The 27,961-nt window shown below is 55.7% G+C and overlaps 2 protein-coding genes across 3 annotated transcripts in view, besides 13 other annotated features; both read right to left on the minus strand.

Moving 5' to 3' along the window:
• On the minus strand, positions 13-27,406 carry CSNK1E (casein kinase 1 epsilon). Of its 2 annotated transcripts, none has more exons than NM_001894.5 (11): positions 27,308-27,406; positions 23,404-23,491; positions 12,460-12,570; positions 12,183-12,331; positions 10,046-10,274; positions 9,217-9,387; positions 8,108-8,256; positions 3,664-3,856; positions 3,431-3,570; positions 2,577-2,641; positions 13-1,260 (listed from the first exon to the last, which is right to left on the minus strand). In NM_001894.5, exons 2-10 carry the CDS (start codon positions 23,477-23,479, stop codon positions 2,609-2,611), a joined length of 1,251 nt encoding a protein of 416 aa, NP_001885.1. In that variant the 5' UTR covers positions 23,480-23,491; positions 27,308-27,406; the 3' UTR covers positions 13-1,260; positions 2,577-2,608. The 2 variants fall into 2 exon arrangements, with proteins under 2 accessions (NP_001885.1, NP_689407.1); NM_152221.3 differs by lacking the exon at positions 27,308-27,406 and adding an exon at positions 26,482-26,755.
• Positions 13-27,961, minus strand: part of TPTEP2-CSNK1E (TPTEP2-CSNK1E readthrough) — a 108,225-nt gene continuing 80,276 nt past the window's right edge. Inside the window, exons 6-15 of the mRNA NM_001289912.2 lie at positions 23,404-23,491; positions 12,460-12,570; positions 12,183-12,331; positions 10,046-10,274; positions 9,217-9,387; positions 8,108-8,256; positions 3,664-3,856; positions 3,431-3,570; positions 2,577-2,641; positions 13-1,260 (exon numbers count right to left, since the gene is read on the minus strand). Of these exons, the coding sequence (NP_001276841.1) occupies positions 2,609-2,641; positions 3,431-3,570; positions 3,664-3,856; positions 8,108-8,256; positions 9,217-9,387; positions 10,046-10,274; positions 12,183-12,331; positions 12,460-12,570; positions 23,404-23,479 (1,251 nt within the window). The 5' untranslated portion in view covers positions 23,480-23,491 and the 3' untranslated portion in view covers positions 13-1,260; positions 2,577-2,608. The remainder of the gene's footprint in view (positions 1,261-2,576; positions 2,642-3,430; positions 3,571-3,663; positions 3,857-8,107; positions 8,257-9,216; positions 9,388-10,045; positions 10,275-12,182; positions 12,332-12,459; positions 12,571-23,403; positions 23,492-27,961) is intronic.
• Positions 7,641-8,841: an enhancer, noted in NCBI's record as "CDK7 strongly-dependent group 2 enhancer chr22:38694325-38695524 (GRCh37/hg19 assembly coordinates)". NCBI's record gives its function as "activates an origin of replication core promoter dependent on BRD2, BRD4, P300/CBP, MED14 and CDK7 cofactors, with strong dependence on CDK7, by STARR-seq in HCT116 cells {active_cell/tissue: HCT116}" and the evidence as "EXISTENCE:reporter gene assay evidence [ECO:0000049][PMID:35650434]".
• Positions 7,641-9,397: a biological region, named in NCBI's record as "CDK7 strongly-dependent group 2 enhancer GRCh37_chr22:38694325-38695524".
• Positions 8,724-9,397: an enhancer, noted in NCBI's record as "H3K4me1 hESC enhancer chr22:38695407-38696080 (GRCh37/hg19 assembly coordinates)". NCBI's record gives its function as "activates a minimal SCP1, AML or CMV promoter by ChIP-STARR-seq in naive H9 embryonic stem cells {active_cell/tissue: H9 hESC(naive)}" and the evidence as "EXISTENCE:reporter gene assay evidence [ECO:0000049][PMID:30033119]".
• Positions 15,055-15,104: an enhancer, noted in NCBI's record as "active region_19003". NCBI's record gives its function as "activates an Ori minimal core promoter by ATAC-STARR-seq in GM12878 lymphoblastoid cells {active_cell/tissue: GM12878}" and the evidence as "EXISTENCE:reporter gene assay evidence [ECO:0000049][PMID:35858748]".
• Positions 15,205-15,454: an enhancer, noted in NCBI's record as "active region_19004". NCBI's record gives its function as "activates an Ori minimal core promoter by ATAC-STARR-seq in GM12878 lymphoblastoid cells {active_cell/tissue: GM12878}" and the evidence as "EXISTENCE:reporter gene assay evidence [ECO:0000049][PMID:35858748]".
• Positions 19,947-20,036: an enhancer, noted in NCBI's record as "active region_19005". NCBI's record gives its function as "activates an Ori minimal core promoter by ATAC-STARR-seq in GM12878 lymphoblastoid cells {active_cell/tissue: GM12878}" and the evidence as "EXISTENCE:reporter gene assay evidence [ECO:0000049][PMID:35858748]".
• Positions 19,947-20,783: a biological region, named in NCBI's record as "H3K4me1 hESC enhancer GRCh37_chr22:38706687-38707466".
• Positions 20,004-20,783: an enhancer, noted in NCBI's record as "H3K4me1 hESC enhancer chr22:38706687-38707466 (GRCh37/hg19 assembly coordinates)". NCBI's record gives its function as "activates a minimal SCP1, AML or CMV promoter by ChIP-STARR-seq in primed H9 embryonic stem cells {active_cell/tissue: H9 hESC(primed)}" and the evidence as "EXISTENCE:reporter gene assay evidence [ECO:0000049][PMID:30033119]".
• Positions 20,797-20,846: an enhancer, noted in NCBI's record as "active region_19006". NCBI's record gives its function as "activates an Ori minimal core promoter by ATAC-STARR-seq in GM12878 lymphoblastoid cells {active_cell/tissue: GM12878}" and the evidence as "EXISTENCE:reporter gene assay evidence [ECO:0000049][PMID:35858748]".
• Positions 24,024-24,083: an enhancer, noted in NCBI's record as "active region_19007". NCBI's record gives its function as "activates an Ori minimal core promoter by ATAC-STARR-seq in GM12878 lymphoblastoid cells {active_cell/tissue: GM12878}" and the evidence as "EXISTENCE:reporter gene assay evidence [ECO:0000049][PMID:35858748]".
• Positions 24,154-24,323: an enhancer, noted in NCBI's record as "active region_19008". NCBI's record gives its function as "activates an Ori minimal core promoter by ATAC-STARR-seq in GM12878 lymphoblastoid cells {active_cell/tissue: GM12878}" and the evidence as "EXISTENCE:reporter gene assay evidence [ECO:0000049][PMID:35858748]".
• Positions 24,344-24,393: an enhancer, noted in NCBI's record as "active region_19009". NCBI's record gives its function as "activates an Ori minimal core promoter by ATAC-STARR-seq in GM12878 lymphoblastoid cells {active_cell/tissue: GM12878}" and the evidence as "EXISTENCE:reporter gene assay evidence [ECO:0000049][PMID:35858748]".
• Positions 26,083-26,472: a silencer, noted in NCBI's record as "silent region_13715". NCBI's record gives its function as "represses an Ori minimal core promoter by ATAC-STARR-seq in GM12878 lymphoblastoid cells {active_cell/tissue: GM12878}" and the evidence as "EXISTENCE:reporter gene assay evidence [ECO:0000049][PMID:35858748]".

Genomic DNA, 27,961 nt, shown 5'->3' on the forward strand with positions numbered 1-27,961 from the left:
GGGCTGCCTGCATCACTTTATCTTTTCTACTTTATTACTTCAAATTAACAACCACGATAAAGCTCAAAAAAGTCCAATATTTACACAGGAAAAAAGTACAAAATTCCCCCCAAAGTTCTTCAGTTTTTTTTTTTTCAGTTTTTTAAATTACAAAGTAATAAAAAGCTTTGCTCTTTAATTAAAAAAAAAAAGGAAAAAGGGGAAACAGAGGTAAATAAATTAGGAAAACACACACACGGAGAAAACAAACAAAAATAAAATAAAATAAAAACAAAAAGGTGTTAACTAGGAAGGATGGGTTAATCCAAAACCCAGCCCTGACTCCAGGCTCCTCCTCAGAAAGGTGGAACCAGGGAGAGGGGGGACCCCAGGTGACTGTCAGGACCAGGGAAGTAATTTATAACTCAGAGCCAGATGCCTTCTGGAAGCAGTCTCCATGGATTCTGCCCTAAAACCAGGAATGGAAGATGGAGCTGCCACCGGCTGATGACGGGCTAGGGGGGGACCGGTGGCAGCGAGGACCCTCTGAGCTCTGAGGGATGCGGAGGTCACCGCCCACCCCCATGTCCTTGTTAGTAGACACAGGAGAACGGGAATTCGGGCTGGCAGGCGGGGCGGGCCGTGGCACCTGCTGTCTTGGGAAACACAGGTCAATACATCCACACACACACACACACACACACACGCAGGGGACGCCGGCCCCCACCACCTCCCCACCCACTCCATGGAGAGGCAGAGGAGGAGCCTGGAGGCCAGGGGGACAATGGAAAAGCCCAGCACGGGAAGTCAGCCACTGTCATCTCAGAGTGGGTGGGGCTGTGCGTATCTCCTGGATTCTGAGGCTCGGAAAACTCGGTGGGAACTGCCTTCAACTGACTACACCACTCCCTGATGATGCTTGAGGGCCGGCTTTGGCTCTGGGACCTGTCACTTCTCCGACACGGACCCGACCCGTTCCTCTCCAGGCAGGTGGTGGGTGGGGGCAGGAACAGGAGGCCGGGCAGGCCCTGGCGTCTGGCTCCTGTAGCCTGGTGTTGTCAGGGGAGCATCTGGCAGCCTGAAGGTTGGGGGCAGCGGGCACCACAAGGGGGCAAGAATCCTCAGTGCTGAGGGCATCTCATCTTCTTGCCATTGGCAAAGAAATCAAAGAAACAAACTCCATCGTCGGTTTTGTGCTGGGTTTTTTTGTTGTTCTTTTGAGTGGTTTATTTTTGCCTTTTTTTTTTTTTTTTTTTTTTTAAAGAAAATACAGTGAAGACACTAGAAGGGAGAAGGGAAAAGACAGGTGAGGTACACAGCTGTCTCTGGCTACTTTTTTTTTTTTTTGAGATGGAGTCTCGCTCTGTCCCCCAGGCTGGAGTGCAGTGGCACGATCTCGGCTCACTGCAACCTCCACCTCCCAGATTCAAGCAATTCTCCTGTCTCAGCGTCCCGAGTAGCTGAGATTACAGGTGTGTGCCACCACACCCGGCTAATTTTTGTGTTTTTAGTAGAGATGGGTTTTCACCATGTTGGCCAGGCTGGTCTCGAACTCCTGACCTCAAGTGACCCACCTGTCTGGGCCTCCCGAAGTGCTGGGATTACAGGTGCGAGCCACTGCACTTGGCCCCCCAAACTCCTGTCTTCTCGTCCCTTGGTCTATCTCCCTCTGGGCCCCAGAGCCTGGCTCAAGGCCCAGCACGCTAGGAGATCCATCTTCATGTGACAGAAACGGATTCTCTCCCTTCTCTGCCCTCCTGGTGAGCATCTCCCCACCCCACCCCCAAATATCTGCCCAGCCCGCCATGGACAGCTTGGTTCCTGGGCCTGAGATCCGAGGAAGGCCAGCCCTGTTCATGCCTCCACTCTCTTGTGTGGATGAATTTCTACAAAACAGACCACACACAGATTGTCCCAGTGTAAAGTTGAGTCCCCCGACGTGTCGGACTACTGCCTACAAATGGACACACGTTCCCCAGAGAGCTCAGATTATACCCTCGAGAAGCCCAAAGAACCCCTGCCGCCTCCCCTTCCCCAAGCCAGGCCCCAGAGTGGGGCGTTTCCATACCCCGCCTCAAGGCCTGGTACAGTCCGGGAAGAACCAGCAGGCTCACGCTGGCCAGAGGGCCTCTCTCAGTCCTACTACAGAGGCATAAAAAGGGCTCCTTTGCTTCCTCCACAGCCCTGTTGTGAGTCTTGTGCAGGAATTAACTTGCGTAACAGCCCAGAGGCTGAGACAGGGCTAATGCCGTGGGAGAGGTCAGAGTGTGAGCCCATGGCCCCGTCTCTGCTGGGAACCAACCTTCCAAAATATGTTAAGGCAGAAGGAGATAGAGACCTGGCCGAGGGCAGAAAAAGTTTTTCCAGCAGAAACTAATCCATGAGGGGTCAGGCCTGAGCATAGAAACCCTTGGCCCCAAGTCAGGCAGCCTCCGAGGTTTTAAACTACTTGAGGCCCCTTAGAGTTCTGGGGCGCCTGGTACCATCTGCCACTGCCACTGCCACCCACCCCTCCACAACACATTGGTCTCTTTCTGGGGCCCTGGGAGCTTCTAGGTCGGCTGGGCTGGCTGCATCTGCAGCAGTCATGGACTCACCTAAGCAAACACTGGTCCAATGGGGGCTCTCCTCACTTCCCGAGATGGTCAAATGGCACACTTGTCTTTTGAGGGTGGGGAGGGAGAGAGGGGGAGGGAGAGAGAGGGAGGTACAAGCTTCAAGTCAAGTCCCTTAGCCGCTGGCGATAGAGATTTGGCAAGTCTCTCCCCACTGAGGAGGTGTACCCCCACCCCCACCTCCAGGCAGCCCCTCAAGCTGAGGGAAGGCCTGTGTGATTCCAGTGACTCTAAGATGTCCCTGTCTGTAGCTAAGAATGTTGCCCAGGGAGGCAAACCTGCTACCTAAGTAGATGGCCAATGAGGGTTCTCTCGCAGGACTCCCTCCTCGCCCACAGGCAGGAGGACGAGGGCAGGGCTCCCACCCACCTCTGCCAGGCCACCTGCCCTGGGCAACTACAGATTCCCCCTTCCCAAGTGTCCCCATCCAAACATAGCCCCAAAGAGGATGGGACCTCACTGCCCCTACACCCCATGCTCTTGCCAATGCTCACAGGGGCTCCTGGGGGCTCCCTGATGTCAGGGAGCAGCAACACCTCATCTCTGAGCCCCTGCTGCCCACCCTGGCTGGGCCCCTGGCAGCGAGGACTGGAGCCCAGCTGTGCCACTTGCCAGGGAATGTTACTGCCCTGAGCCTTGGTGAATGACTTTGCTCAAGAGGGCTCATCAGACCTCAGAGGATTAAATGAGGCCAAGTCCTGGCTCTACAGAAGGGGTTCACTCCAAGGCAAGCAGCGTCGATGGAAAGGGAAGAACAGAGCCACGGCCTGACCTCCCACTGGGGGGTCTCTAACTCAGTTCTGAGGCCCAGAGGGACTGGCAGGGGGGCAGCTCACCTGTGAGGCTGGGATCCGGGAGACCTCTTGCCGCCCAGTGAGGTCTGAGGAGGAGACGTTGGCGGGCGCACCCCTGTGCAGCCTCATACTCACCTTCCTCTCCCGGTCGACCCGCGAGATCGCTCTGGGAGAAGTATTGCCTGGAGGGAGAGTGGGAAGCCACCCTCAGAGTAGGCACAAACAGAGCCCCCCACCCACCCTGAACCCAGCCCACTGCCTGAGTCCCTGCTCACCAGCCGGCTGGATGCGGGAGGCTGGCGTGGAAGCCACGGGCTCGGCGGCACTGCGGAGCCGGTTGGCAGTGGCCCCCGTGGGTGGGCCAGGGGGCAGGGCTCGGGTCGCGGACCCCCGTAGCTGCCCCATCCTCTCCTCGCGTTCGTGTTCTCGCCGCTCCCGGTCCACATCCTCGGGATTCCGGGCTGCACCCTGCAGGGATGCAAGAAAAGACACCAGTCAGCCCCAGAGGCCAGGGTGCTCTGGGCCCAGCAGCCCTGCAGGGCACAGAAGGGGAGGGAGGCCAGGTGGATATCTCAGAAACCTTCTGCTCCAGCCTCCCTGACAAGCGCGGGAAGCCAAGACCCACAATCACACAGCACAGAGACACGAAGCCACACAACCACCAGAGGAAGGAGAAAGCAGGAGTCTGGGGGCAGAGGGAGGTCAGTCTGCCCTGCTCTCCTGGGATGGAGCCAGAGAAAGGACAACTAATGCGCCCAGGATGATCAAGAGCACCTCTTGGCCCTCCTGACCTGGGGCTGGGCCTGCCCTGGCCCCCCTCTGTGTACCAAGAGCCCTTAACTACTCAAGGTTGCTAAACCGAGCAGGAAAGCTGTTTAGAGGCCTCTAGCAGACTGGCTAGGGGTGTCCAGAGGGGGAAAAGAACAGGCCCAGAGTCACAAAACTAGTGGAAGGCTGGGCTAGGACTCAGACCAGCTCTCCCGGTACCTAGCCAGGGGCTCTTCTCATCAGGGAGCTGTCCTTCCCCCTGCCGGGACCTGGCAATGGCTTCTGGCAGGTGCAGTGGAGGCCACAGCCAGGAGGCCCAGGGAACCCACAGACACCGCCTGCCTTGGGACAGAAGCTCAAGGGGAGCTGGAGAAGAAAATGGGGCCACGTTCCCCACGGAGGAAGAAGAGGCCCAGCAGGCAAAGCTGGAGCAGAAGGGGTACCCTAAGCCCCCAGGTGCCCTGCTGTCCAGCCACTGCCGCCCCTGGTGCAGGAGGAAGTGAGAAGGGGCCAGAGAAGAGCATATGTGGGGGCAGCGCCCGACTGCGTTACCTAGTTCATCCTGGGGCCGTCCACAGGGAAGGGCAGGGGGCTGGCAGGAAGGGGGCCGCATCTGTGGAGGAGAGAGCTCTGGGCTGAGTTGGGGGCCTGCTCATGGGCACAGGGTGTGGTTCCTGCAACCCATGTCTCTCCCAGGAGACTGGCCAAGAGGTGGGGGTGGGCCCTGTCTTTAAGCAACTCCAGGAAGTAGTGGCTAGGACCAGAATGATCCCTGAATCTTAGTGAGGCACCAAGGCCCAGAGAGGCCTTGTGACCTGCCCGGGGTTGCACAGCTCAGGGCAGAGCTAGGGTCTGAACCCAGGCCTCTGCCACCTAGTCCCACTCTGCTCTCTGCACCCCAAGAGGTCACTGTTCAGAGTCTTGCCTTAGAACACTCTAGAAGATGCATCTTCCCATCCTCCCACCCAGAAGCCTCTCAGGCAGGCCTGGGACCACCGGGGCTCTAACTCCTGACCTCCGGTCCTCACCCTGGGCTCCCACTCGGTTGCAGGCTGGCCAACAGTGACTCAGCCAGAGCCACAGCAAAGCCTGGGGAGGAACACGAGCTGTGGCACCTCCGTGCCGAACCTTCTGCGGGCAGAGTCACATCAACCCTGTGAGGCAGGTCAATCTCATTTCCATGCTTGGGATACAGAGGCTGAGTGACTCACTCCAAGGTGTGGAGCCCTGCAGCCAGCAGCCAAGCAGAGGGCTGGAGCCCCTGCCCTTTGTGAGCCCAGCAGGCTCAGGCCATTGCCAGCCCCGAGGCAAGAAGTGGGCGACTCTCCATGGTCCCATCCAACCCATAGGACGCAAGAAACACACAGCAGGGAGCTCTCTTGGCCTTTATTGCCCATAGAAAACATAAAAGGTCAGCAAAGTCACACGAGCATCCACCCGTCATCATATGGACCTCTGTCCTTGGCTGTGTTGAATTCCTTCCCGGCCAGCTGACTGGACCTCGGAACACAGTGGCTGTATGTGCTGAGAGTGGCTTCCAGGCCCCAGGGATCCACAGATCCCAGCACCCCGGTGCAGCCAACAACACAGGGTGTCCTGTCTACTGTTGGGTAGCATGGGAAGGGCCTGGCCTCAGGGTGAAGGTTCCCATTGCATGTTTTCCAGGTGCTTCTGCCAGGGGACTGCTGGAGGTGGTTCAGCTCACTACAGTGGCCGTGGCATTGAGTCAGAGATTGGCAAAGGATAAGGCTGTGGGTGCCTCTGCCCAGCTTCTAACTCCAGGGCCTGCCTCAAGAGGGACTTCCAGGAAGGCGGTCAGACCAGCAGCAGTGGGTGGAGAGGTGCTCCTGGCCTGGTTGGAAAAGAGATCTTGCTGGCTAGACAGTCTTGTGAGACTCCATAAGGGAGGAACCTAGAGCAGTGATGTCCACAGAACGTTCTGGATGAAGGAAATGGTCCCATCTGCCTTGCCGGATGTGGTGGCCACTGGAGGGCAGTGGCATGATCTCAGCTCACTCCAATCTCTGCCTCCTGGGTTCAAGCGATTCTCCTGCCTCAGCCTCCCAAGCAGCTGGGATTACAGGAACACACCACCATGCCCAGCTAATTTTTGTGTTTTTAGTAGAAATGGGTTTCACCATGTTGGCCAGGCTGGTCTTAAACTCCTGACCTCAAGTCATCCGCCCTCTATGGCCTCCCAAAGTGCTGGGATTACAGGCATGAGCCACCAGGCCTGGCCGACATTTCCAGTCTTGATTAATTTTAATTCATTAAAAATGTGTCGCATGTGGCCAATGGCTACCATCTTGGACAGTGTCCGTCTAGAGAATACAAAATCCATTCTTGCAGTTGTGCTGAGCTGGAGGGCCAAGCCCATCACGAACCAGACGTGGGAGTGACTATCTCGATAAGAAAGTGCCCAGTGCCCAATGCCCTGTGGTGGAAAGAGCTGGTCCCAGGTGCTCAAGGCCATGGGCCCCATTTGGAGCCAGAAGGTCTAGGGTGAAGTCAGAGAAGACGTCCCCTGCCCATATCCCATTTCCAGCCTTGCTGAAAAGGGCAACAGAGGCCTCTCCCTGAGGTCCCTAGCCTGCGAGACCCCCATTCTCTGCCTGACCTCTGTGTTACTCCTTAGTGAACAAGAAACCCAGAGAGAAGAGAAGCCCAAGACCAATGTGCCGACCTTGGCTTCCAGGAGAACAGAGCCTTGGTCCTAACCATCTAGCAGGGTGGCTGAGGGCCCTGCCATGAAAGAGGCACACCAGGATGAAGCAAGAGGAGGTGTTTAATGAGTTCTGGTTCAACACAGAGGCCGCCAACGGGGTCTAGCTATGAGTCTGTCCTGGGACCCGTTCCCACCAGGCCCCTTGTGGGCAGTGGCCACCATCCCTCCCTCAGGCTGTCCTGGCCCTCAAGGACCCCATGGCAGGGCCTTTTCCACCATGGCCTCCACTGTGCTGCCATCTCTTGGGAACAGGGGGTCATCCCATCCTCCCAAGAAACACTTCCTCAGGCCTGGCCCCGATGGGCTCAGGCACACCTGGCGACATCAGAAATGGGGCCCTGGAGTCCAGACCACAGGCCAGTAGTTTTGGGGGGACAGCTCCTCCACCTCCTCCACCGGCCTATCTGGGGGGCTCTGGGTGCCCAGGGGAGCCGGGCACCTGAAAGGGACAAAAAGCACAGCTGAGGCTCAGCCTCTTGCGCTCACTGGTCAAGTGGCAAATTTTGGAAAAGCCAGACCTCAGAGGATCCTTACCAGTACGTGGGTGAGTACGTGGGCCCAGCACAGGGACAGGGGCGGGGACAGAAAGGTCCCTTCGCTGTCATGGGGCTGTCACGGGGCTGAGCCTGGCTCGAGGAAGCCCCCTTTTCCAGAAGAGATGTGAAACAAGACATACAATTTCACAGATTCCAGAGCTCTGGGTACGGCCGGCCAATGCTGCTCCCCACCCAACCCCACCCCTGGGACTCTTAAAAGAGGGAAACAGAACAACTGCCTAGCCAGACCCAGGGGCCCATGACCAAGAAGAAAGCAAGCACCATGACTGGGTCCAGGCTGGCCCGAGGGGCCATGGTGCAGGTAGCCACCTGGGATGTGCAGAACAGGAGCAGCAGGACGGTGTAGGCAGCAATCAGGGCAGCAGGGGGCGCCGCCAGCACCACCCATGCCCTGCTGCGGGCACCCAGGAGGGACCCCAGGTGAAGCCAGATCCTCCTTGTTCCGACGGGAGACAGCGCCCTGCCTGGGCCCTGCTGCCCATGGTGGCACAAGCTGTCAGCACGGATGAGGCTGGAGGGCTCTGGGACCCCAGTGAGGTCAACCACACTGTCCAGCTCGTACCTCCCGTCTGTCGGGAGCCCCTCCCGCCACCAGCTCACTCTGGCCCTCTGAGTCAGGGCCTTCCCCATCCAGTCCCCCAAGCCCGCCTTGGCCTCCAGGTGACTCACGAATTTCAGCATGTTCCAGTCAAAGACGTAGTCATAGGAGAAGCCCTGCCGGTGGAAGAGGTTGCGGAAGAGCTGACGTAGGTAAGAGTAGTCGGGCTTGTCGTCAAACCGCAGGGAGCGGCAGAAGTTGAGGTATGTTGAGAATTCGGCTGGAGGGTGTTGCAGAGGATAGAGAAGGCCACTGTGAGGCCCACGCTCCCAGACCCCCTGCAGCCAGCACTGTCCTAGCCACCCACTGTCCCTAGATACTTCCAATCTGTGAGAGGCAAGAAAAGGAGGCAACAGAGCCATGGCCTTCCCTATCCTACTGTGATGAAAGCCTAGCCTGCCCGTGAGCAGAGCCTCTGCTGCTTTCAGAGCAAGGGAAGACCTGCGAACAGTGGCCAGGAGCCTCTGCCAGGTAGCCGGATCCAGGAGCCATCCATGCCCACAGCTCTTCCGCTGCCCTCGCCAAGCACCCTGGGGCCCACAGATCAATCGTTGCCATAAATTCAAAGGACTGCAAGAGCCTGACGGGACCTTCTAACACAACCTAAGCAAGAAGAGGAAAACTTCCAATTCCTCCTCAAAAACACTGGGGAGAGGGCCCTTGGGAGATGAGGCAGGAATGTAGGCCGGGAAGCAACAGGTGTAACAGCCAGGACAGGGAAACCGGGCCTTCTGGCTGTGCCAAGGAGTGGCAAAGAGCCAGGGATTACTGCTCAGGTGCCAAGGGCTGTGGGGCAGCCCAGTGTGGGCTTTGTTGTTGTTGTTTTTGAGATGATGTCTCGCTCTGTCACCCAGACTGGAGTGCAATGGTGCAATCTCGGCTCACTGCAACCTCCGCTTCCCAGGTTCAAGCAATTCTCCTGCCTCAGCCTCCTGAGTAGCTGGGATTACAGGTGGGGCTAATTTTTGTATTTTTAGTAGAGACAGGGTTTCACCATGTTACTCAGGCTGGTCTCGACCTCCTGACCTCATGATCCACCTGCCTTGGCCTCCCAAAGTGCCAGGACTGCAGGCGTGAACCACCGCGCCTAGCCCCAGCGTGGGCTTTGTATGGCCTCACCTTTCCCTTAGACAGTGCCTCAGGGGCCCCCAGGCATGTCCCCTCCCACTGGGCTACTCACAGGGATAGCCTTTGCAGAGGACCTCGATGGGCGTTGACATCTTCTTCTCGCTGATCCGTTCATACTTCTGGCGCTTGGTGGCTGCTTTGAGCCCCTGCCAGGGCAGGGAGCCCAGGTTGAAGTACATGAGCACGTAGCCCAGGCTCTCCAGGTCATCTCGACGGCTTTGCTCTGCACAGAGAGTCAAAGACTAGGTGAGGGACAGGGGTCCACTCAGGCCCCTAACTCATCCTCTGGGTCATGCTCCTCACAATGCACCAGGACCCTCCTGCCCCCACGTCGGATGTTGCTCACTGCACGCATTTTAAACAGGCACTGCTATTATCCTCCTCCTACAGAGAAGAAGCCTGAGGCAGGGCCTTCTCAACTTAATTTGGGCCTAGTTTTTCCAGTTCAGGCACTTAATCATTCAATGACTATGAGAGGGCACCTACTGCCCCCTTGCCTGGCCCACCCCGTGGAGAGGTCACAAGCTTCAGCATCAGACAGGGCCGGGGTCAAGTCCAGCTTTGGCATTAGCTAAGCTGCATGACCTTAAGCAACCCATGTTAAACCTCTGAGCCTGTATCTTCCAGCCTGCACCAACAGGGCGGAGGAGGAAGCAGGGCCAGGGAAGGCGCCCGGCACACACAGCTTGGCTTACGAAGGGGAAGACCCGACTGTGCAAGGACACGGAATAAGCACGAGCTTGGGGGCAGACGGGGTGGGGACTTTCTCACTAGAAAAGAGCCTGGGGGCCTCCATCAGGGTAGGGGGTGAGAGGGCTCCAGAGAGCTGGGCCCCAGCCAGTGGCCCCGGGTGCACACTGCTCCAGGCCTGGCTCCCTCACCAATGCCCAGGTGCGTGTTGATGGAAGCGTAGCGGGCCGTGCCGGTCAGGTTCTTGTTTTCCCGGTAGGGAATGTGCTGGTGGGTGCGGGCGTCCCGGTACTTCTTGGCCAGGCCGAAGTCGATGATGTAGACCAGGTTGCCCTTCTTCCCCAGCCCCATGAGGAAGTTGTCGGGCTTGACGTCCCGGTGGATGAAGTTCTTGGAGTGGATATACTCGATGCGGCTGATCTGGGGAGGAGGGGGGCCATTTGTTCAACAGAGGGGCCCTTGCCTAGCACTCTGGGCCAGGCAGGGGCTGGGGCCACAGAGGTGGAAAGGCAGAGGGAGAAAGGCCTGCCTTCGACCATGAAGGATAACTAAGGGGCAGGCCAGAGAAGGCCTCCTGGAAAATGTGACATCAGGATGAACTCTAAAGGGGGAGTTCACCAAGTTGGCTGTGAGACAGAGAAAGAGAGTATTGCAGGAAAGCTAATGGGAAGATCCAGAAATGAAGAGTCTGCTAGAAAGGCAACTGGTTCCCCATGGAAGGCTTGCCTGCCCGGCCCCACACTCACAGGACTTAGGGAGCCAGAGAGGCAACAGATGTGGGCGAGGGGCAGGCAGGGAACATGGGGGAAGCCTAGACCAGGAAGAGGTGACAGAGGCAGAACACAAAAGACAGGGCTTCCGAAGGATGCCAAACTCAGACAGGCACATGGCCCTCTTTCCTTTGATATTTTTTTTTTTGAGATGGAGTCTCGGTCTGTTGCCCAGGCTGGAGTGCAGTGGCAAAATCTCGGCTCACTGCAACTTCTGCCTTCAGGGTTCAAGTGATTTTCCTGCCTCAGCCTCCCGAATAGCTGGGACTATAGGCACGCGCCACCACACCTGGCTAATTTTTTGTATTTTTAGCAGAGATGGCGTTTCACCATGATGGTCAGACTGGTCTCAAACTCCCGATCTCAGGAGATCCGCCTGCCTCGGCCTCCCAAAGTGCTGGGATTACAGACTTGAGCCACCTTTTCAGTCGAGTTTTTAAAACTCAAACTAATATCCATCCACATGCCGTGGCCTCTGGCTCTGGCCCCAGGTTCAGCACAGCTCAACATCTCCTGCACCTTTCTTGAGTTTCACACCATGAGGGGCTCTGGCGACCCTCTGCTCACACACCTTCAGCCTACATCGCAGGGCTTTTGCAGACCAAGATTAAAACCCCTGTACGAGATCTCCACATTCCATTCCAAGTTCAAAATTCTACAGTTTTGTATTTTTAAGAAGCTTTCCTCCCTATGCTGATGAAGGGCTTAGTACTTAACAACAGCCTGTTAGAGGGGCCTGTTTTGGCAAGGCGCTGAATGGTATCTCACCTAATCCCCTCAACAACCAACAAAGGAGAGACTCTCACATGAGGCCACTGAGGCTCAGAGAGGTTCGGCGTTCACCTACGGTCACTGGTCTGGAACAGGACCAGGTCTGTGTGACCGACCGCAGGCTTTACATTACCCAGGGCAGGCCAGACGTGGTGGATCATGCCTGTGATCCCGTGTTAATTCCCATCTTGGGAGGCCAAGATGGGAAGACTGCTCAAGGCCAGGAGTTTGAGACCAGCCTGGTCAACACAGTGAGACCCCCATCTCTATTTCTTACAATTAAATGATATTTTTGAAATAAATAAATAAAACTACCCCAGGCAGAGTCCCAGGCCCTGACTCGGCAGGTCTGGAGTTGGGCCTGAAATCACATTTTAAATAAACAACTTGGCTGGGCACGGTGGCTCACGCCTGTAATCCCAGCACTTTGAGAGGCTAAGATGGGCGGATCACTTGGTAAAACTCTGTCTCTACTAAAAATACAAAAATTAGCCCAGCGTGGTGGCAGGTGCCTGTAATCCCAGCTACTCATGAGGCTGAGGCAGGAGAATCGCGTGAACCTGGGAGGCGGATGTTGCAACGAGCTGAGATCGCACCACTGCGCTCCAGCCTGGGCGACAGAGTGAGACTCCGCCTCAAAAAATAAATAAACACCTACAATTCTATAGCCAGTGGACAAGGTCCCCTGGCCCAGGCCCATCCTCTGGCATCCTCTGGGGGCAGGAGGCAGGGCTGGTATCCTGGGCCCACAGGCATCTGGCTGGGGATGGAGGGGACGGGGACTCACCATCTGGTCGGCCAAGAGCAGCACCGTCTTGAGGCTGAATTTGCGGGAACAGAAGTTGAACAGGTCCTCGAGGCTAGGCCCCAGCAGCTCCATGACCATCACGTTGTAGTCGCCCTCAGCTCCGCACCACTTGATGGACGGGATCCCCACTGGGGGTCAAGCAGAGGGCCTCTGTCAGGGGTCAGAGGCAGGCAGCCAGCCACGCCCGGCCCACCCTGTGCTCATGGCTGCCCACCGCCACCCACCCGGCGCCCGCCGCCGCCCACCCTGCGCTCACCGCCACCCTGCATCATCTTGTAGAACTTGCTCTCGATGTGCAGCTGGGGGTGCTTTGTCTTCACACACTCCAGCTTGATGGCGACTTCCTCACCAGAGGCGATGTTGGCACCTGCCCGGGGCAGGGAGGCAAGGGACCAGGGTCACCCTCAAAGGCCAGGCAGTCCCAGGCGCCCCACTAAGCATTTCTGAGATCTGGCGTGTGCCGGGCCCGGGGCCATCTGCCCTTGAGGAGCTCTTGGGGGAGGCTGGGAAGGGGGCAAAGGAGCCCCGGCAAAGGGTTCCTGAGGGGAAAGAAGGTCAGCGCTGTGAGGGACAGAGGTGACACACAAGGGCTACCCAGGGCCACAGGTTGGGGCGACAAGAAGGCCCGATGTGAGTGGGGCAAGGGTCAGGTATGCAAAAGGCTCACAGACCACCTAAGGGAGGGGGCTGAGTCCTAGAGCAAATTCAGGCAGTGAGGTCTGTCGGGTTGAGATGGTGGCACGTGCAGAAGAGGCCCAATGGGGCTGGGCTGCCGAACACACCAGAACAAGCCAGGACCACCCTGGCCTACAGGATGAGGATGGGACAGCCGCAGCAACCCCTCAGTCAATGCTGATGCCTTCAGAGGCAGCCCTGCACATTCTAATCCAGTGTCTCATTCGATTCTCAACCCCCTTGTAGAGATGAGAAAACAGAGACCCAGCTAGAGACCCAGCTCAAGGTCACCTGACCTGTAAATGGCGGCCTTGAGATCAACCCCGGCTCTGCTGGCCTCCAGCATAGGTCAGAGGTCCTGCCTGCACCTCCCCGTCTCCCCCAGTCCACTCCTGGCTTCTCAAGGGGCTCTAAGAAAATACCCTCACACACACCAAGGCCCCGCTCTCTGCCTGGGCCCACTGCCCAACTCAAGAAGTCACAAGAAAGACCAAGCCCAAAGTGTACCTTGCCTCAGTTTCCCTGGCTGTATGGGTGGATGAGATGAAGGGCTGGGGCTAGGCTGGGCGACAGGGTGTCTCCTTCCTGGGGCCAGCAGCGAGCCCAGCAGGAGGAGTAGGACAGTGTCGCAACAGGACACAAACAGGCCAGAACAACCCCCAGGGACACAGCCTCAGGAGGAGTTCAAGACAGGAGAAAGGCAGGACCTCACATCAGAGGAAAAGATGAGACTGTTCATTAATAATGTCCCTGAACAACCGGCTGGCCACCTGAGAAAAGACACCATGGCTCACACCACAACCAGGAGAAATCTCAAGTAGAGGAAAAGTTTGTATATAAGAAATAAAGGTGTGGGTGTGAGTTGGCACAGCCCCTGTGCACCTCTTGGGTGAAGCTGAACATAAACAAACGCTCGCCCAAGCAACCCCACTCCTGAGTGTACATCCTTCAGAAACACGTGTGCACCAGGGGGACAGGACAAGGATGGACACAGGAGCAAACAGCCCAAGTGCTCAGCAGCAGAAGAACAGGAACAGTGGCGCAGTCACCAGGGAATCCCAGGCGGCAGTGAAGAGGAAAGGATGCCTGCTTCACACAATGACCCTGGTCCCAGGGGTGCACTCCTCACAGCAGCCAGAGGGTGGAAACAACAAACATCTGTCACAGATGCAAGGATGAATGGAATGCAGTGCCTCCATGCGGCGGAATATTATTCAGCAATAAAGAGGAATAAAGTACCGATACACGCTACGACACGAGTGCACCTTGAAAACATTCTACCCGAGGCCAGGCACAGTGGCTCACGCCCGTAATCCCAATACTTTGGGAGGCTGAGGCGGGTGGATCACAAGGTCAGGAGTCCGAGACCAGCCCAGCCAAGGTGGTGAAACCCTGTCTGTACCAAAAATACAAAAATTAGCCGGGCGCAGTGGCAGGCATCTGTAATCCCAGCTACTTGGGAGGCTGAGGCAGGAGAATCACTTGAACCCAGGAGGCGGAGGTTGCAGTGAGCCGAGATTGTGCCATTGCACGCTAGCCTGGGTGACGGAGTGAAACTCCAGCTCAAAAAAAAAAAAAAAAAAAAAAAAAAGAAGAGTGCAAGCACAGTTCTACTTGTTTCCATATCAAAACAGGCAACAAGACTGGACAATACAGATTTAAACACGAAAGAAAGGAAAAAGATTAAATGTCAGACGGTGGTTCCCAGGGAGGGACACCTTAGGCCATGCAGGTATTCTATACGTATTCTTTGCATCCACTCAACGTTTAATAAGAAATAACAATGAAATGTTAGAAGAAGGGAGAATTGCCTTATAGCCTTGGGGTTAGGCAAAGCTTTTATTTTTATCCCTGATTCAAAATCCTAAAGCCATTTAAAAAAAAAAAAAAAAAGCTCCTTCCTCTCCAAAAAAAAAAGAATCCCTTCTGCATGGCAAAAACACCGGAAATAAAGTCCTAAGAGACATACTCACTTGCAATTCTTATCACAGGCAAAGAGCTAATATGTAATGAGCTCCTACAAATCAGTCAGAAAAAGACTCAGCAGAAAATAGGCCAAAGGATTTGAAACACACACTTCACAGAGAAAGAAATCATTAATAGAAAAGCCTTACTCATAGGGAAAGATGCCCAACCTCCTTGTAAGAGAAATGCAAATTAATATGATCGTGAAAGACCATGTTTCACCTAGGATTGTCAAAAGTCTTACGAGATAACACACCTGTCTGTCGGCAAGACTGTGGGGGCGCTGAGCACTCCTCCCAGGTGGTGGAGGCGTCAACTGCTGAGTCGCCACTGGAGGGGGATTTGACGCTACTCAGCCCTGACCAGCAACCCCGCTTCTGGGAGTTTACCTGACATCCTAGCACGGTGCAAAACAAGGCGGGGACAAGGCTGTCGGCTGCAGGCTGTTTGGAACAGCAGAAGCTTGGAAACAACCCAAATGTCCCTCCTGAGGGGGCTGATTAAATAAAGAATAGCCCATCCATAAAACAGAATACAATGGAAAAAGAACCAGGAAGCTCTCTCTGCACACAAGTGGAAAGATCTCCAAGATACAGGAAGTGAAAAAGCAAAGCACAGAACAGTGTATATTCCACACTCTCATTTCAGTTTTCTTTAAAAAGGTGGGGAACTAAGTATCTGTGTTTGGCTCTAGCTACATAAAGAAACACTGAACAGAAACATGACTGTACAGGGCTAAGTGGGTCAGGGAGGAAGGGGTGGGGGACGCTTCACTGGATACTGTGTTATAAGTTGCAATTTCTTTCAACACCTTTATTGAGATGTAATTCAGATAACTCTCCAATTGAGTCACTCAAAGTGTGCGACTCACCGTTTTTAGTATATTCACAAGCTTGCGCAGCCATTACCACAATCAATTTTAGAACACAGGCCGGGCGCGGTGGCTCACGCCTGTAATCCCAGCACTTTGAGAGGCCGAGGCAGGCGGATCACAAGGTCAAGAGATCAAGACCATCCTGGCCAACATGGTGAAACCCCATCTCCATTAAAAGTACAAAAATTAGCTGGGCGTAGTGGCGCACGCCTGTAATCCCAGCTACTCGGCAGGCTGAGGCAGGAGAATTGCTTGAACCCAGGAGGCAGAGGTTGCAGTGAGCCGAGATTGTGCCACTGCACTCCAGCCTGGCGACAGAGCAAGACTCCATCTCAAAAAAAAAAAAAAAAAAATTAAAAATTAGAACACAGCATCTTCTTATCAGCTGATACCTTCGTATCAGCATCTGCTGTGGGTTCCGCATCTGCCGATTCAACCATGGATCAAAAATACGTGGGGGGAGAAAATAAAAAATAACAACACAACAATAAGAAATAGGTTGGGTGCAGTGATGCACAACTGTAGTACTACCACTTTGGGAGGCTGAGGAGGATTACTTGAGTCCAGCGGTTCGAGACCAGCCTAAGCAACATAGTGAGACCCTATCTCTACAAAAAATACAAATATTAGCCAGGCGTGGTAGCACGTGCCTGTGGTCCCAGCTACCTGGGAGGCTGAGGCAGGAGGACTGCTTGAACCTAGTAAGTCAAGGTTGCGGTGAGCTATGATCACACCACCACACTCCAGCCTGGGTGACAGAGCAAGACCATGTCTCAAAAATAAATAGGTAAATAATATAAAAATTAAAAATACAGTACAATAACTATTTACATAGCATTTACATTGTATTAGGTATTATAAGTGATCTAGAGATGATTTAAAGTATATGGAGAAGGCCAGGTGCCAGCATTTTGGGAGGCTGAGGCAGGCGGATCACCAGGCAAGGAGTTCCAGACCAGCCTGACCACCATGATGAAACCCCATCTCTACTAAAAATACAAAAATTAGCCAAGGTGCTCCCGTGGGAGCGCCTGTAATCCCAGCTCTCAGGAGGCTGAGGTAGGAGAATCTCTTGAACCTGGGAGGCGGAGGTTGCAGTGAGCCGAGATCACACAACTGCACTCCAGCCTGGCGACACAGCGAGACTCCGTCTCAAAACAAAAAAAAGTATACAGAGGATGCGCGTAGCTTATATACAAATACTACAGCTTTTTATATCAGGAACTTGAGAATCAGAGGATTCTGGTATCTGAGGGGGATCCTGGAACCTATTCCCCACAGGTACCGAAGGTGGAGGGCTGTATTTTCTTTTTCTTTTTGAGACAGGGTCTCAATCTGCCACCCAGGCTGGACTGTAGTGGCACTAACACAGCTCACTGCAGCCTCAACCTCTGGGGCGCAAGTGAGCCTCCCACTTCAGCCTCTCGAGTAGCTGGACTACAGGCGCAAGCCACCACACCTGGCTAATTTTTGTATTTTTTGTAGACAGGGTTTGCCATCTCTAGGCTGGTCTCCAACTCCTGGGCTCAAGTGATTCACCTGCCTCAGCCTCCCAATGTGCAGGAATTACAGGCATGAGCCACTGTGCCTGGCCCAGGAGGGCTGTATTTTCATCACCCTGAAAACACCTGTAGCCTTTAGTGGGGTAAGGTCCTATCTCCTCGCTCCATCCCCTGCCCCCCAACTAATCTACATTCTGTCTCTATGGATTTGTCTTTTCTGGACATTTCACAGAAATAGAATCAAACAGAATCATACAACGTGATTTTTTGTGACTGGCTTCTTTCACTTAACACATTTTTGTGTTTTGATTTTTGAGTATTTGGATTTTTAATAAAAGAAAAAGAAAAACAGAATGAATAACTCAATCTAGCCAGCAACAGGAATGAAAGTACTTTGCAAACTGTAAAGAGCTTTTGACACATCAATGCTCGTCACTGGGATGAGCCACACAGGTTTCCAGGGGACAGTGAGGATCCTTAGAGTCCCCTGGCCATGCTCCATTTCCCCATGAGCAGAGAGGCAGGAGAGTGCAGCGGTTGAAGTGTGAGTTTCAGAGCCAACCTACTAGAGCCCAAATCCTGACTCGGACATCCCCTGGCCAGGGGTCGTCGGACAAGGCACTTCACCCCTCTGAGCCCCAGGTACCTCATGTGTAAACCGATGACACTATCTGGCTCATTGGGATGTTCTGACAGACAAACATGCTTACAAGAGTGCCTGGCACACAGTCAATGCTCCATGATGTTCGGCTTGGTGGGAAGTGCAGCCCCTAGGCTAGAGATGAGCCGGTGTCCACCCAGTGGGAGGAGGGGAAGAGGGAATAAGCCATGCTATGAGGAAAGGAGAGCCTCCGGGAGGGCAGGCTGCAAGGGCTCCTGGCTCCCAAACAGGACTGTACTGGACAGACAAGAGAGGTCACGGCACAAGCAGAGGCCCAACAGCAGCAGGTGCAGCGGGAACCATGGGGTGGCAGAAAAAGACAGTGGAAGAGGTGGGCAGGGAAGAGATCTGAAGGGTCTTGAATGGCCGGCTAAGATCCTGGCCTTCAGCCTGAGGCACCAAGGGCCATGTTCAGGTGTGTGATCACAGGATCTCTCAACCGTGGCACTACTGACACTGGAGCTGGAGAATTCCTGGTTGTGGGGCTGCCCTGGGCACTGCACAGTCTAACAGCACCCATGACTTCTACCCACTAGATGCCAGGGCACCCCTTTCCCCCTGAATTGTAACAACCAAAAGGTCTCCAGATCTTGACATATGTCTCCTGGGGGACAAAAATCACCCTGTTGAGGCTACCTGGTGGATACGAAAGGGCTGGAGGAGGCTAGAGGGGTAGTGGAAGGCCTGGGAAGGCCACTACAGAGACCAGGCAAGAGCTGACGGTGGCCCTGCCTGGGCAGGGTGCAGAAACTGATTGACACTTTGGAGGCAGGGCCTGCAGCACTTGGTGATTCGGCAGATGTGTGCAGGGAGGAGAGGTGCTGGGGAGGTAGTGGTAGACAGGGCCCTCTTCCCCTCGAGCCCTTACTCCACTCTTCGAGTACTACTGTTTGTATTTCTTTTTTCTTTTTTTTTTGAGACAGCTTCACTTTGTCGCCTGGGCTGGAGTGCAGTGGCATGATCTCGGCTCACTGCAACTTCTGCCTCCCGGGTTCAAGCGATTCTCATGCCTCAGCCTCCCGAGTAACTGGGATTACAAGCAGACACCACCACGCCTGGCTAATTTTTGTATTATTAGTAGAGATGGGGTTTCACCATGTTGGCCGGGCTGGTCTCAAACTCCTGACCTCAAATGATCTGCCCGCCTTGGTCTCCCAAGTGCTGGGATTACAGGCGTGAGCCACTGTGCCTGGCCTACTGTTTGCATTTCTGTTTGACATGTGGAAAAACAGACACCAAAGGTCAAATGATCATATGCTACAAACTTCCCAGGGACAGGGACCCAAGCTGCTAGGCAAAGCCTCTGACCCCCGCAAGTGCTGGAAACCTGCCAGAGCTGCCTCCCCCTGCAGCAGGTCCTGCCACCAATGAGTTCCTTGGTGGCCTCTAAATTCTATCAGGAAGCCGCCAGGCTTTTCTCTGAGCTCCCTTAATTCTTACAACCGCTAAGCTGAGGTTCAGAAACGTTAGGTAACTGGCCTAAGGTCTGACAGAACTGGATGGGGCACAGCCAGAATTTGAAACTTAGTCCCCAAAGTCCCTGTGTTTTTTCTCCACTCAAACTCCAGGTGAGGCTTCCTGGCAGAGGCTGTGTCTGGGAGCCGGCTGAGCATAGATGCAGGGGTGCCCCACATGCGAAGGCCTAGAAGCTAGAACTGCCCGATTTCAGGAACAGAAGATGCCCCATGAGTCAGACACAGTGGAGGGAATGCCAGTTCCCAAAACAAACTTGGACACAGAAAAGGGCTTGGACTTGGCTGGCCCTAGAGGGGCTGGGAACTTGGCAAGTTCCAGGTGGCCACGGGCGTGGCCAGCCTCACACGGGGGCCTACTTGACACCTACACAGACACATGGACACAATCGGGGACATGGGTGGACTGGAGGACAGGGGATGAAGCCCACCGTCCCGGCAGCAGCAGCGGCGGCAACCTCAGTTCCCACCCATCAGAGGCCTGGAGTATTTCCCACACTAACTCTCACCCCTGGAACCACCTGTCAGCGAACAACACTGTTCGCCACCCCTTTCAGAGCTGAGGACCAGAGACTCTAAGAGGTCTAGAGAGTTCCCCAGGATGCAAGTCTAGCAAATGGGCCCAGATTTGGCCACCTCTGGACCCTGCATGGGCAACAGCAGTGCCTTAACAAAGCAGGCCCCACTCTCTTGGCTGACCCCTTATGATGCAGAGGGAGAAGGGGCAGAAGCCACATCCATAGTGTGCTGGCCCTCGGGTGATCCTGGAAAGCAGGGCTTGGAGGACGCATCCAGCCCCACCGGCAGAGGCCATCTGGAGTCAGGCCCTGGCAGAGCACTGGGGATAAGAATGTGGCCAGAGTGTTGAATAAATGGAGCCAGCAAGGCTGGCCGGGGACGCCCTACAATCACCACTGTCCCCAAACCAACAAGACAGGGGCCCAGGAGGGTGCTGGCAGGATGGTGAGTCAGGGCAGGGTCCCCTGAGGCCCTTGCACCAGTGAAGATGGGAGAGTCAGGAGTCTGACTCGCCTCCCCAGACTCAGACCCAGAGGACCCAGACCCTTCGAAATCAACTCCGAACTAGAAACTAAGACCAATGGTGGGGGCGCAGCGCACAGCACTACTGCTGGGCCCAGCACACGTGGGTATTTTACACGCCACGACCTCATTACTTTGCACGACCCCATTTTGCAGATGGGGAAGCCAAGGATGGACAAGGTCATCACCTGCTCAAGCGCATACAGCTCACAAAAGGAAGAACCAGCACCCAAACCTAGGTCGAATTTACTCTAGAGCCAGTACAAAGAGGAGTAAATCTGTACTTAGTTTTTAAAATGAATGAGATGACTATGCAGATAAACAGGAAGTCCTGTCCCCAGGGAGGTCCCACCACACAAGATTCTGGATTTTCTGAGTGATCTTGGGCTGTCCCCGCTCCAGCCATGGGCCTGTCTCCTGTCTGCAAAAAGAGCGACGGGACCTGGGATGGGCGCTGTCTAGGAACAAGTCTGTGCCAAGAGCTGTCTCCATGCCCTTTGACCTCCAGCCAGTGGCTCCAGACTTCAGTGCTCAGCCCAACAGCTTCAATAATACGAGGGTCCTTTACACCCACTCCAATTTCACAAACAGTAAGGAGCTGGGTACACTCATTTCAGATGAGAAGACTGAGGCTCAGAATGATATGGTGACTTACTCCAGGTCACACAGCAAATGAGGAACACGCTGGGGATCTGAACCTGGACTGGCCCCCACATCTCAGCCCTTTTCTTTCCTTCTTTTTTTTTTTTTTTTGATGGAGTCTTGCTTTGTCGCCCAGGCTGGAGTGCAATGACACGATCTCAGCTCACTGCAACCTCCACCTCCCAGATTCAAGCCATTCTTCCGCCTCAGCCTCCAGAGTACCTGGGATACAGGCATGTGCCACCACACCCAGCTAATTTTTGTATCTTTAGTAGAGACAGCGTTTCACCATGTTGGCCAGGCTGGTCTCGAACTCCTGACCTCAAGTGATCTGCCCGCCTCGGCCTCCCAAAGTGCTGGGATTACAGGTGTGAGCCATATCTCCTGGCCTCCTTTTTTTTGAGACATGGTCTCACTCTGACACCCACGCTGGAGTGTGATCTCAGCTCACTGTAGCCTCAACCTCCATGGCTCAGGTGATTCTCCCACCTCAGCCTCCTGAGTAGCTGAGATTACAGGCGCGTGCCGCCATGCCCAGCTACTTTTTATATTTTTCTTGTAGAGATGGGGTCTCACCATGTTGCCCAAGTTGGTTTCGAACTCCTGGACTCCAGCAATCTGTCTGTCTTGGCTTCCCAAAGTGCTGGCGTTACAGGTGTGAGCCACCGCACCTGGCCATCCCGGCATTTTTCTATTCTGCTGTGAGGCTACTGTGCATGTCTGTGCATGTCACAATCCCCATTTTCTCATTGGTTTGCTTGACTAGCCTTCAGTGAACACCCACTGCGCTGGGCACTAGCAGATATTACCAAATGCCTGCCTCCCCGGGAGTAGCTTGGGGTCGCAGAGAAAAACCTTTAAACCAGCTGCACCACACACTCTCCCTCCCTCTGAGCTCCAGGGTGTCCATAGGGGAGGCTCATCTACTAAGCACTCAGCAATGAACTGCACATCTGGCTGGCACTTTAGAGTTTACAAAATACTTTCCCATCTGTCATTTCATCTCTGCCTTGGAACAGTTCTTGGTCAGTCAGGCAGCATTATCACAAACTACAGATGGGGACACTGAGGCACAGAGGAGCTGCATGACCTTCCCACAGCCACACAAAGCCACGTCTAGAACGCAGAGCTAGACGTCTAACGTCTCCCTCGGCATGTTCTGTCTTCCACGCTCTCACTCATGTGGAGGGCTGTGGGCATACAGGCTGCTTCTGCCAGTTTTCTAGAGCGGTCTTGGGAGGCCAACTTGACCATCTGTGCCTCAGTTTCCTGATGTGCCAAACAAATAATCTGGTACTATCTCTAGGGGCTGCAGAAAGTACCCTGCAAGGAAGTGGTCAGGGAACTCCCAGTCTCCGTCCCCGTCTCCATTGAGGCTTCCTTAGCACATTTCATACTCCAAGGAACCCTAACCATGGGGTAACAGAAACCCCGAAGTTCTGAGCTGATGGACACGACACACAGACTTGGTGTTCTCTGCACTGGACAGAGCTGATTTTCATTTTCCAAGGAGGGTAACCAAGGCACAGAGGTGTGTCTAGCCTGCTTCTGAGGGTGCAGGGACAGGAATGAGGATAACTCGTAGAAGGGCTGGCCACCTCACTCCAGCAACTTCAAGCCTCCACCCGCTAATCCACAAGCACCAACACTAAATACCTTCCCTTTGGACCAATAAGCACAAAGGAAGGGCCAAGACTCATGACCGTGCCCCTCAGAAGTGGCACTGAAAGGCGCAAGCCTCATTTCTCCCAGGCCAAGGGGAGGACTGAGAGGTCAGTGATTTGTTTAAAATGCAACATCACAGCATACTCATACTTTCAACAGGAAGCACATCCGGAGAGAAAAAGAGAGAGAGAGAACTCCCTAATGAGGAGACCGCATCCCCCCACCCCACCCCCGAGGTTACAGGGGAGCCTGCGTCATCCCAAAGCCTGCCTGGGCTGGGTTCCAGGAGGCCAGGACATAGAGAGGGGGGCCTGGCTAGGGGTCCAGCAGCAACCCAAGTCCCTTCTATCTACCAATATCCTTCTCCCAGGAAGCAGGGGAGAGGATGTGAACCCCGCCTGGGTTTTCCCACACCCAGCTGGTGACCCAGCTGACCCGGGACACTGAGGCACAAAAGAACCGCATGACTCCTGCAGAAACTGGAGCTAAAAATACCCTCCAGTGCCCAGCCTGGCCTGCGAGAGGAGCCCCCTGGCCTGCCTCCCGGCAACCTGCTGCTTCCTTCCCCATCTGGGATGGCCCTGGGGCAAATCATGCCCCTGGAGCCACATTCTGACTTCAGATCCCCAAATCCTGGGGTCTTTCCTCCTCTTGGTCCCATGGGCTGGCCCCAGGGGCTCCAGCTGGAGCTAGGAACACTTACCCAGGTAGATATCTCCGAAGGACCCGCTCCCGATCTTCCGTCCCAGGCGGTACTTGTTCCCCACACGTAGCTCCATGGCTCACTCTTGCTGCAGAGGAAGCAGGAACATGAGGGTCAGCGACGTGGGGAGCCGGGAAAGGGGTCCAGTCCACCAAGGCCAGGCAGAGCCACCAGGAACTCGAAAACCTGCATTCTCGAAGACCACATTCTGCAGGTGTCAGGTGGCCCACAGCCTGCACTCCACACACCTGGGGAACAGCTAAGGCAGGCTGAGGACAGGTTTCAGTGTGGCCAGAGAGGAAGCAGCCAAGCAAGCATGTCTTTGGGGGATGCTCATTCAGGGGCCCCTCAAAAGAAGCTTCTCAAGGGATCACAACGGGCATCAGCCCTCTTACACCTCCTACCCCCCAGGCTCCCACAGCCTGGCCTGGTCTTCCCAAGTACTGCCCCTGCCCAGAGGCCAGACCTCGCCAGTGCCCAGCACGCCTTGCAGGAGAAAGTCGCATCCCCTACTGGGGGGAAGGCAGAAAAGAATGCCCTCGACCATCCACCTTCCAGCCACCTCCCCATCTCTACGTCATGACACCAAGACCTCACACGGAGGCCCATAGCCGCTTGGATAAACTGTTTGGAGCTGGCGTCCTTTAAGACTAGGAGGGTCTCCTAAGAGGGCCCTCATAGAACAACAAAGGGGACTGAGCCAGGGTTTTAGCCGCCTGCCCCGGATGGGTGGGAGGAGGAGTTCTGATGTGAGCAGCTTCTCTCCTTCCTCAGGGCCAGGGGGGAGCCCTCTGCTCTGGCCTGGGGCAGAGGAGGGACCCCTCTGCTCTGGCCTGGGGCAAAAGTCCGGACACCCTGTTCCTGGTCAGCAGAGGAGGAAACTGAAGGCCTGGAGGCAGTGCTGCCGTGGGGACAGGGACCAGGGACTGCAGTAAACAGGGGGAGGGGTGTTTACAAGAGGACCAGCATCAAGGACTAGCAAGAGGGAACTCCTTTCACAGACAGGGTACTCAGGCTCACAGAGGCCATGCCACCTGTCCCACACCACCCTGCAGATGGTACAGCCTCGCCGAGGACAGGGCTCCGGCTGTCCCACCTGGTGGTCTCCCACACTCACAAACAGGGCAAAACAGGAAGACTGCAGAGCAGCTGTGCTGGCACAGAAGATCAGCCCCTTGCCCGTGCCAAGTGCTGCCCCCAACAACCAGGCCAGCCTGGGAGGGAGATGGATTCCAGGGACAGTGGGCAGATCCCAGGAGAGACAGGGAACCCCGGCACCTGGCTCCCAAGGAGCTCACCAGCCCTCCACCAATAACCACGAGGCAGGGACCTCCACCAGAGCTGGCCAAACTCTGGGCTCTCAATCAAGGGCCGCTGCCCATATGCTTGGCCTGTCTCAGCTGAGGTGCCACGCTGCCAGGGGAACACAGTCCACGTTTGCAGGAAACCCACACGCCACACATCCCACGTACACACACGTCCAGCTTCCCGAGTGTGTACACTCCAACGGAAGAAAGAAAAGCAGGCACACACAGTGAGCCCTGTTGGGGGGTAAGGGGGGGTGTGCACGCAACCCCCCCCCAACACCTCAGTCCACTTTCTGCCAACACCAATTCAGAGACCACACATGGCAGCCAGGAAACCCGCAGGTTAGGAAAGGAACATAAATATACCCGCATCCTATATTACATAAATACCCACGCCGGGTTATATAAATACCCGTGCCCTCTGTCTGGGTGTCTTACATAAATATACTGCACATGACCCCCCAGTCTCTCCCCACTCACCGGCTGTCTGCAGAGAACGAGAGCGGGAAGGGGCAAGCCCTTCAGGACCCCCTGACTGCTATGTGCCAGCCACCCAGACCCCCAGTCGCTCCCCAACACCCCAGGGGTCCAAGGTCCCTGGGGGAGCCTAGACTGTCCCGGCACCAATACCCAAAAAGCCTCCCAGAGGAGAGCAGAAAAGCTTCATTCAGGAATGGAGAGGCTTTTCAGTTCTTTTGCTGCTTCTCCCATGGGGGAGGGGGGGAGATAAACAAAGTGGGGGGAAAAGTGGATATAAAGGTTCAAGAGTTTCAGCAGGTTAAAAAAATTAGACAAACTACCAACCAGCATGGCACACGGGCAGTGCTTCTTACTCCCCGAACACCATCGCCTACCCCTGAGCCGGGGCCCTTGTCCCTCGGACGATTAAAATAAAAATTGAAGGGACATCATAGAAACGAAGGCAAAGGAGACCCAAACACAGGCATTGCTTGGAAGCAACTTGAGACACTTGTGTCCCCTTCTCCTCTCTCCAAATCCTTCTCCAGGAAGGAGGCTATGCCAGGAAGAAAATATGCAAGAAAACTAAGGGAAAAGTTGGGGAGGGGGCTCACCCCACTTCGAGTTAGGGTATTAACAAGAGCTTGGGAATCCTCTAACGACACCCAGACACTGTTTTGCGTTCCTTAGAGACTTGCAAGACATCAATCTCTCACACAAAAATGGGAGAATCCGATCCGACAAATAACCCCCACCCCTTTCTTTCTCTCCACAAAGAAAAACAAATCAGTGGCCTGGTGACCACACACCTCTTCACCTTAGGACCCCCAAACGCCCGTCATCCAACGAGCGGGCGCAGCCTTGCGAACCCCCAGGTCCGGGCGCCGGGGCCGGGAGAGCAGGGGGCGCCGGTGATTGTCCGATGAAACGCTACGCGGGCCCGAATCAACAGTATCCGGCGCCCAGCACCCCAAGCCCCCTCCCTCAGCGTCCCCAAATCACAGCCGGGGTGGCCGCCTGGCCGGCCGGGGCCTCGGAGGGCCCAGCGGGGGGAAGCGGAGGCAGGCCGGCCGGGGGGCCTCCCCCGCGAGCCTGCAAAATAACAGGCCCCCTCCTCCTCGTCCCCAGCCGCGCCTTTGTCCTCGCCGGGCCGAGCGGGCGGCGCCCGGGCTGCCCCCCCTACACCCCAGCGCGAACGCGCGTGTGTCTGCCCTCCCTTCCCTCCCTCTCCAGCAAAAACAAAGAGGCTGAGGGAGCCCGATTCCCCCCAGGTTTGCACCCTTCCGCGGGCCCGCGGCCCCCCGATATTTACCCCGCCGGGAAGGCGCCGATGCCGGGCCACTGCTCGGGGGGCTGCCGCGGGCGGGGGCGGCCCGCCGGGGCGGATGCCGGAGGATTCGCGGAGCCGCCCGGCGCGCCAGCCTCTCCCGGCCCAGCCGCCGCCGCCGCCGCCGCCGCCGCGCTCCGCTCGGCCCCGGCCGGGCTCTGGCTCTGGGCTCTCGCCGCCGCCGCCGCCGCCGCCGCCGCCTCCCTCCTCCCGGCCTCCTGCCCGCCCGCCCGCCCCCGCCGCCGGCTCGCGCGCTCTCGCACCGCGCGCGCCCGCCGGCTCCCATTGAGCCCCGGGCCCGCCCGCTGATGTCATCCCCGGCCCGCCGCCGCCGCCCCGGAGGATTTAAAGGGCCCGCGCCCTCCGCGCTGGGGGCCGCAGCTGCGAGACGCAGTTCCCCAGCCTCAGTGCAGGCGCGCGGGCTTACGCGTGGGGGTGGGGGAGCACACAGATACTGACACCCTAATGCAGTCCAGGGCACAGGTGGAAAAGACGGGGTGCGGGGGGGACAGAGGGAAGAGGAGGGCGCACAAAAAGCGGAGGTGAGGGGATGGGAGGGGAGGGTCTAGACCCAAAGTCTCCTCTCCCCGCCTGCCAGGATCTCTCTCCTCTCCAGGCAGAGCACTGGGCCCCTGCGAAAACAGGCGGCTATTCACGACACTGCAAAAGATGTTAGACTGCTGGAGGCTCAGTCCGCCTCCAGGTTCCGAGTGCCGCAGAGAACACAGGCCAGGTTGATTCAGGGCAAGAGATTTGAGGAGACAGCTAGGGATGTCGACACAAGGCCCAGAAAGGTAGCCTGGGCTCATACATTCTCCTCCCGTGGAAAAACGAAGGGCAAAGACCTCTTCTTCTTTTCCCTGAAGCTCAAACTGTGATGGGCACAGAGAGGACCCCTCAGATCCCAACCTCATTCTCCCCTGTTGAAGGAGGGGTGCCACAAGTACCAAAGCACCGACACTTGAGTCTGGGCTCCGAGTGGTGCACGTTTAGCCAAGCCACCTCCCAGCTCTGAGCTTGGGTTTCCTTAAACAGCAAATGGGAGGAAGGACCCTGTCCTCCCCAGGTCACAGAATTAATAAAAGCTTCTACCGGCATGCAGAGCCGCGATGAAAGGTTGCAGAACAAAGTCATTAAAGTGATGATATTTACACTGAGCCATGCAAAGCTTCCAATTATGACACACCTATATTCACACAGTTGTGACTGTGGACACGCAAAATGCCTGAGGCCCTGCGTCCAATCCCGGAAGCACAGTTCCTGGGAGGAGTCACTTCTATAATAGCCGTATCTTCCCTCCTCGAGGCTGAGGGACTGAGTCACACACGTGTCCAAACGGGCAGGAGCCCCACAGACTAAGTCCTTTCGCCGGCCAGGAAACTGGCCCAGAGAGGGGAAGGGCTTTGCCCAGGACCACAAAGCCCAACAGGACAGCTCTGTTCTCCCAGCGATCACCAGGAAACTG

Source organism: Homo sapiens, chromosome 22 (assembly GCF_000001405.40).
Source record: "Homo sapiens chromosome 22, GRCh38.p14 Primary Assembly".
Classification (NCBI taxonomy): domain Eukaryota; kingdom Metazoa; phylum Chordata; class Mammalia; order Primates; family Hominidae; genus Homo; species Homo sapiens.

Coding starts and splice junctions, on each gene's coding strand:
- CSNK1E (NM_001894.5), bottom strand. CDS start 23,479: ATGGAGCTACGTGTGGGGAACAAGTACCGCCTGGGACGGAAGATCGGG. Junction 12,332..12,459: donor CAAGATGATGCAGGGTGGCG/GTGAGCGCAGGG, acceptor CTTGACCCCCAG/TGGGGATCCCGTCCATCAAG. Junction 9,388..10,045: donor CAACACGCACCTGGGCATTG/GTGAGGGAGCCA, acceptor CTCTCTGTGCAG/AGCAAAGCCGTCGAGATGAC.